Source organism: Homo sapiens, chromosome 4, assembly GCF_000001405.40.
Source record: "Homo sapiens chromosome 4, GRCh38.p14 Primary Assembly".
In the NCBI taxonomy this organism is placed as follows: Eukaryota; Metazoa; Chordata; class Mammalia; order Primates; family Hominidae; genus Homo; species Homo sapiens.
This window is the reverse complement of record NC_000004.12, coordinates 182,917,776-182,925,772: the sequence shown is the minus strand read 5'-3', so window position 1 is coordinate 182,925,772 and position 7,997 is coordinate 182,917,776. Positions and strand designations below refer to the sequence as shown.

The 7,997-nt window shown below is 43.0% G+C and overlaps 2 annotated features.

Annotated features, from left to right (window-relative positions):
- Positions 208-410: a silencer, noted in NCBI's record as "fragment chr4:183846516-183846718 (GRCh37/hg19 assembly coordinates)". NCBI's record gives its function as "represses an EF-1alpha promoter that drives an FKBP-Casp9 reporter gene in an ReSE screen in K562 erythroleukemia cells {active_cell/tissue: K562}" and the evidence as "EXISTENCE:reporter gene assay evidence [ECO:0000049][PMID:32094911]".
- Positions 6,423-6,472: an enhancer, noted in NCBI's record as "active region_22178". NCBI's record gives its function as "activates an Ori minimal core promoter by ATAC-STARR-seq in GM12878 lymphoblastoid cells {active_cell/tissue: GM12878}" and the evidence as "EXISTENCE:reporter gene assay evidence [ECO:0000049][PMID:35858748]".

The following is a 7,997-nucleotide window of genomic DNA, read 5'->3' as shown; positions in this document are numbered from 1 at the left end:
GAGATGTAGATTGCAGTGGAAAGCGACTCTACCTTGCTTTCCAAAATTAATCTTTAAAAAAAAAATTGAACTTTTTAGAGGTAGGGTCTCGCTGTGTTGCCCAGGCTGGTCTCGAACTCCTGGGCTCAAGCAATCCTCTCTCTTCGGCCTCTGGAATAGCTGGGATTACAGGCTCGGCAACAGCCCTTTAATTCTAAATCCTCTCCCCAAGTGACTCCCTGCTTCAGATAATTTTATGTTCATATGGCCACTAGAGAGCACTTTGAGACTAACAAACTTTGCTCTGTGCGCCCAGGCCTCTGCTGCACCCTGGTCTCCTGAGGTGGAGGGGCTGTGTTCCGCTGCTGCGCCATCTAGCTACCAGCGGCGGCCTCCAAATGGCTATCAAGGCTGATGGATGCATTTTGTGAAGCTTAGTGACCTGTGGTAGTGATAATGAAGTATTCTGAAGCTCAGATAACATTTTATTCTGTCACTATGGTTTTCTGACTTTAGTGACATCACCTAATTTGTACTGCTTTGCCGCGTGTTTCTCAGGCAAGCATTTCAGCCAGGGTCCCAGTTTCCTTATTGCTCCTACTCCCTTCTGTCAGATTGAATTTCTCTCAAAGAGAAAATATTGCTTGATATTGATTCCAGTGCACAAGATAATTTCAGGTTCTCACTCTATAGTTCATCCAGGGGCCCTGTTTAAAATCTTGAAGAGGTTTTCCAAGGCTAAGAGGCACAGTTCAAAAGAACAGTTCTTGAATGTGTTTAAAAGACCCTTGGCTACATTTTCTGATGTTTCATCAGCAGCTTGCACTGATACACTTTCCATTGCTATTACAACTGAACCATATCATAGGGAGCTGTACCAGCAAGACCATCAAGTTTTCTAAAAAGCTATAAAGCTTTCATGTTTTCTGGCCTATTTCTTACTGTGCTCTTAAAAATGTTTAGCTTCTGCCGAGCCAAATGTGTACCTCCAAAGGCAGACGCAGTGAAAAACTCTTCAAGTATCTCAGTGACTGCTGCAATATCTGTATATACAGCAGGAGGATGATTCTGTTTGGATGGAGGAAGGGGCAGTTCTCTGTGGTGTGCCCTGTGAATGAATCACACCGCCCTTCGGCGAGGCCCGTCAGCACTGGGGTCCAGCTACGGATGTAGAAGGAGAATCCACTTTCCTGACCACTGCTTATGAGCACTCCCCAGAGCCATTCCATTCTGGTATCATTGTTTGCATCAAGGAGAAATCAAAGTCATCAGTTCTAGCCCTGACTCCTCAACAGGTGGAGGCATTTATAAGGAGAGGTTTTCAGGGGATTTCTTTGAGGTTTTCAAAAATCCTAAATAATTTCTCCCTCTTTTGAATGACACTTGACTTTCAAGTAAAGAATATGCCTGCATGTGAAATGTCAGTTCTGTCTAATAATAACCTGCTTAATGTGCCACTGAAATCGCTAATCGAATTTGCCACCATTTTAATAAAATGAAGTTCTTTTCCTCTGTCCTGGCGCCTGGCTCCTAGAAGCTGGTTAGAACGGTCAGACTGTTACAAACAAAACGGATGGCTTCATAAGGAAATTACACTCTAAAATGTAAACTCACTATCTCGCTCTTTGCCGACACACGTCGTTGGTACTTTGCCATGAGAATAGCAAGGAAGTGAACAGGCTACTAACCAAGACTTTCAAGAAATATACTTCTCTAGGTTTCACAGGGAGCCATGAATATGAAAACTTAACGGAGTGGAAGGCAAGATAAGGAGTTTCCATGGGGACATGTGCATTATTGAGTAGATATGGCTAGTTTTCAGCAGCCAGACTTAGTTTTTAGCTATCAGTCTCTAACCCAGACCAAGCCACCTTCTTCTCCAGTCCTGGAGGGTGTACCACATGCTCCTGTTTCTTTATTTCATGTGATGCTTTTTTGTGTGTGGGTAATATGATGGTCAAACTTTATCTGAAAGGCAATGTTATCCCTGGGATTTCAACACGGGTCGAATAGTACAAAGCAGAAAGATTATCTACATGTGCATGTATGCATGTTTCTTTGACTGAAATTCCATGGTTCTTGGGGGCTACAATTTTGTTAAGGACATATGAACATTTAATATTTAGTGAATGCAAAGAAATGGCACTGACTCTGCCTTGTCTGGGCTTTGTTCCAGAAACCAATACAGATGGAGTCTTCTCCCTAGCTAGTGCAAGGCTCCGGTTAGGGCAACCTCTCATACTTAAGGCTGCGATGCTAGTAATTCTGCCTGAGCTCTCGCTCCATATGCAGGCTCCCATTCCTTGCAGCGAGTGTATCTCGCACTCCTTCCAAAACAGAAACTGGGGTATAAACACAACTGAATATTGTGCTAAGTGGAAGTAATAATAAAGGGAACAGGAAAACCCCTGCCTTTATAACCTACTTCCTAGGTGGGAAGAAGGGGCTTTTTTAGGTAGAAGACACACACACACACACACACACACACACACACACACAATCATATTCTGCTTTGGGACAGCTCTCTTTTATTGTTGTCTTACATCGCCACTTAACCACTGAATCTTGGGTAACCTATTATGTAGTTTGATCTTCTCTCCGGCAAAGAGAGGGAGAAGACTGATGCGGCTTTCTTTACGCCCCTCGAAAGCTTGGCAGAGTGCCTTCCACAGAGAGGCTCAATAAACAGTTGTGTTTTGATTCATGGACTGCAAAGCTGGACATGAGCAGTGTGGCATGAGGAAATCTCACCAGAGCAGCCGTGTGAATGGGAGCGAGCCAAGTCATCTTTCTGGGCCACTATTTCCTCATCTGTAAAAAGAAGGGGCTGGACTCAATGATTGCTAAGGTCACTTCCCAGCTCTGTAAATTCCATGCTTTTAAAAAATGCTCGGATCCTGAAAGAAGACCATCTTCTTGGGTTTGCAGACGAAACAGCCCGGGGTGTATTTATGTTTGACCTCCTACCACATTCTGACTTTCTACTCTAATGAATCCTGGTTTATTCTTCACTGAAATGGCTCGGCTCCAGGAGCCCTTGGTGTGATTCTAACACAGTGTAGATATCGATTTTTCTTGCAGGTTAGTGGTTACTGTAACCACCACACTATTAGATCTCTCTCATTCTCTTAGGGATGATTTCATGAGGGCCGTTCCACTCCCTTTGGTTGATATTTAACTCAATCCAGGGCTAATTTGAAGATAGCATTACTAGGATCATGCTTCATGGCTGAGAGCTCCCTACCTTGTATCACTTCAAGTTGTCTATCAAACACTGCAGCAGACAGAGGTTCATCAGAAATGGGGCCTTTGGAGAACTCTGGCCTCGGTACTGCCTTGTTGCTCTCTGTCAGCTCTTGAATCAAAGCTTTGAATTGCTTACTGTGAACAGTGTCAACAGTCATTCACATAGGATAGGGTTCCTCCCTTATTTTGTTTGCTCCTGACTGTGGAAGATGACTTTTTCCCTCATGGCATTAACAACAGATTGTTGTTGTGGTAGGATCACAGGTGTTATCTTCAATATACACATACATGGTGTGCCACAATACTAAAATGTTAATTTGATTCGCGCCTTCTCCTTTCAGAGGTTCACACCCAGTGAGCTTTCCAGTTAGCTGAGGGAAGGCGCAACACGTCAGGCAGGTTATGATGGCCATTAGCTCCCAACTACAATTTCACAGGGACTTTCATTTACAATGGTTCTTAGGCATTCACCTTGCTACACCAGTTAAAATACACACTGCAAAATGAGTGGTGACTCTGATGTCAATAAAGAATTCTATATCCAGAACCGTAATACCTTGTTGATTACCCTTTAGGAGGTTCCTTGGTGACCCCAGCGTAGAGGGTGTAATTTAATGAAATCATTAACATTTCTATAAAGCCAACAATCTGATACATTCTCTTCAGGTTAGGCACTTTCACAGAATAGCGTAAGTGACTGTTCCACATGAAGCATTATCTTTTCTTGTACAACACTGAAAGCTTACATGCTGCTTGACAAATGTGAATTTTAAAAAGTAAGAATGATTGGCACTTGGTAACTTACACAGAAATAGAAAGTGGTACGAGAAAATTGCCCATTTCTTTTAGATTTAATATGTTTTTTTTTCTTTTAAGAAGCAATAAGACATGTAATTTCCATCCACTTCAACCAGTTGTGTATGAAAGAGGCTACAAGTTCAGCTCTGTAGAAGCAAAGAAGTCATGGGGAGAGGCATCACACCAGGAAAGAGGAGACAGCCTTCCCCTCCGCCTTCAGCTCTGCTGTACGAGAGATGGTCATTTTCAGGCCAAGCCCCAAATCCTAGGACTGAGATCCATGCCTCCTTAAAATGATACTGTTCACTCTTGTTTCCCTGACCCACCAGCCCCAATGTCTCACTTATCAAATGTCTCTCCAGGTCTATGAATTGCAAGGAGAAAAAGGAGGCGGATAGGGAAGTAGAACCAGAGTTCACAGACAAAGACTTCTCTCTATGAGTTAGATGCTCCAAACAATTTGGCATAGAACAATGATTTTCTATTAACTCATTTATTTAGTCAACAAATATTTATTAATAAAAAACGGCAAAACACCCAGCTTTGTGCATATGCCATGTTAACATTTCCTTATTGATCTTCATTGAAAAAAAAGATTTTTTTTTTTTTGAGATGGGGTCTCCCTCTGTCACTCAAGCTGGAGTGCAGTGGTGCAGTCACAGCTCACTACAGCCTCAACCTTCTAGGCTCGAGCAATCTTCCCTCCTCAGCCTCCTGAGCAGCTGGGACTACAGGCATGCACCACCATGCTTGGCTCATTTAAAACTTTTTTTTTTTTTTTTTTTTGCAGAGACTGGGTCTTGCATAGCCCAGGCTGGTCTCAAATTCCTGGGCTCAAGCGATCCTCCCACCTTGGCCTGCCACTTTGCTGGGATTACAGGAGTGAGTTCATTACAACAAACCCGGCCCTTCATTGTAATTTTGAAGATGTATAATGACAAAGTAATTGGTGGCTTCAACTCATAACAAAAACGCTGTTTAGGGATCCTGATTTTTTTTCTGATAGGAGTGCTCTGTCATGTCAATTTGCAGTCTGTATGCCCTTCATGGAACACAAACAACTGACCTCATGCTCTAACATACATACGAAAATGTATATACAGGTTGAATATCCCTTCTCCAAAATGCTTAGGACCAGAAGTGTTTCAGGTTTTGGATTTTTTCAGATTTGGGAATATGTGCATATATGTAATGAGGTGTCCTGGGGATGGGACCCAAATCTAAACACAATATATATTTATGTTTAATATACACCTTACATACATAGCCTGGAAGTAGTTTGACAGGATATTTTTCATAATTTTGTGCACCTATCACATGAGGTCAGGTGTGAATTTCCCACTTGTGGGAGTGTCAGCACTCAAAAAGTTTCAGATCTTAGAGCATTTTGGATTTTGAATTTTCAGGTTAGGGATGCTCAACCTGTACTGTATTGATAAGACCACATATTTATTTTTTTCTAGAATTTTCATTGTGACTTTTTTGTGGTTTAGCAGACTTACAGTCATCCCTTACTTAAGATTTAAAAAGAGTTTTCTCTAGTTTGCACTTTAGCATGGAAACATAAACAATTATTCCTTTGAAAACCAGTCAAAGTGGCACTTTGCCTCTAAGTGCAGTTGTTATGCAAAGGAGTTTTTGGTCCTGACTGACAACCACCAAATTAAGAACAACAGGCAGTTTATAACAACATTTACTATGTTCACTGGGCCAGCAATAAGGTTCATTTTTTTCTGTGTTTATTTGCGGAGAGGGGAATGTGAGGGCAAGAACTGGCTTATAGTATCCATCATGGTATTTACAGCACTTAGCACATAGCAGGGAATTAATAAAAAATGAATATTGTTGATTTTACAGAGACTCCAAGAATGGAAGTAGCTTCTCAAGGTTACTCGGGTTGTAAGAAGTGGGAGTAGGGTTCAAAGTCTGGTCTGACTCCAAGGCCGGTGCTCTTTCTCTCATGACAAACTTGATGGACAGATTGGCCACCTTCCTGACTCCTTGCCTCTGTTTCCCCAGTCACAGGTCTCATCCTTACCTTGGCAGGCAGAGGAGGTGGAAGGAGGGGCAGGTAGTATCTCGGTACGGCAGACATTTGCAAATGCCATCAACCCCTCTTCTGAGGCAGCCCTGGAAGAGTCTTACCTTGACTTCTGTTTTTAATCGGGATCCCCTACCTAAGGCACACTGAAATATTAATATATTCCAGGTTATGCTCTAGACTAGACATAGATAGCACGAAACCCCATAAACAAAAGGGCCAAGACAGTAGTCCTTAGGAATGTGCTGATTGGGTTCAACCTGTGTGAGGCCCTCAAGGAAGGCCAATCTAGATAGGGCTGAACACATACCTAACCTCTGTATCTGTAGTAGGTGGAGAAAGATCCTCAATTATAAGCCCAAATACAAGGTATTAGCAAGAGAGATTTAACACCTACAGTCACACTTGGAGTTACAAGGTGTTAATGAGAAAGACATACCAAGGAATATATTTCTCCCCCCTTTGGCCGCGTGGCTTCACTATTGGTGTACAATATTTGAAACCTCAAGTTGTGAAACTCTGAACCAGGAGGGTTTCCTGTATTATGAATGATGTCATCTTTAAGATGAGGGACTTTCAGTGAAATGCGGGAACATTCAGGGTAATGTGTTTTCAGCAAGCAGGAGCTTGAATTTATGGCAGAGGGGAGTGTGTGAGTTGACCAAAATGGAGAGTGATGAGAAGTAACTAAATTATGTATGACAGTCTTTACCGAGCAGAGGAAGGAAGAAAGCTTAATGATGTTGTGGTTGAAGGAGCAGCAGCAATTGGTGATGTATGGGTTGTAGGTTGGTAAGAAGAGAAATGGATCTATGAAGACCCAAAGACTGTAGATGAGTGTGACAAAGACCAAGCGGTGGATTTGGGAGGAGGAGGGAAACCAGGGGCTCGGGATATATGACACATTTTAGCGGCAACAAGACAGCCATGTAAAGTCAACTTGAAATTAAAAATCATCATCTTAATCTATGTGGCTCTTTCAAGCCTGAGTCTTATCAAGGCAAAAAAAAAAAAAAAAAAATCTATAGTTAACGATGAAGTATTTCTCCCTTTTGCTTTCCCGGCATCCACCAAGAGCAGTACATAATTTAATTATTGAATCTACAAGCTGGACCATGAGATGAAGAATGATGTGTCTGCTGTAGTGAGAAATTAGATAGAACCAACTGTTTACTCTCATCATTCTTCCTCCGTTAGGCTAAATTAATATAGTTAACAAGCTTTTGTTTGGAATAGCAGTTCAAATCTGGGATGTGCAGATCAGAACTGGCGATTATTACAGTAGCTGTTATTTATGGAGTGCTGACAGTCCCCTCAAGTCCCATGAATGAAACAGAAAGGGGTTCTTCTGTCATTCTCTGTGCTAGAACCACTGTAAGGGGCTAGACGTCTGCACAGGGTAACGAAGTTCATGAAAACCAGATTAAGTTGCTTGGGGCATACGACTCCAGAAATGTCACTGATGGTCTTTCCTATTGCCCTGTTTTTCTCATCTTTGAAACAACTGCAACAAAATGTGCACTATATAAGTGGGCGAGCATTACCAGGAGGTAACATGCAGGTGGGGTGCCTGTGCGGTGATACGGGTCGAGCAGGGCGCGGCAGGCTTTAGCAAACACCTCAGGCCCTTCCGCACAATTTGAGCAGAAACTGAAAGCCTGTCAGGCGCAGCCAAATGCAAATCTAGCTTCGAGGCACTGAGCCTCGAGGCACAGCGCCCCCGCCGGACCCAGTTCCCTGCCCCATCCAGTGTGTGAAACTGTGACCCAGCCACCGGCCAAGGGTCCCCACGGGGACGCTGCGACACAGCGGGCTCACTCCAGAGACCCAAACCAGGTCTCCCCACCTCCCGCCCCGCCAGTTTCACGGCACTAGATTCTTGGGGTCGTCTTTTAATCACAATCTCCATAGCCGTGTCTCTAAGCAGTTGATG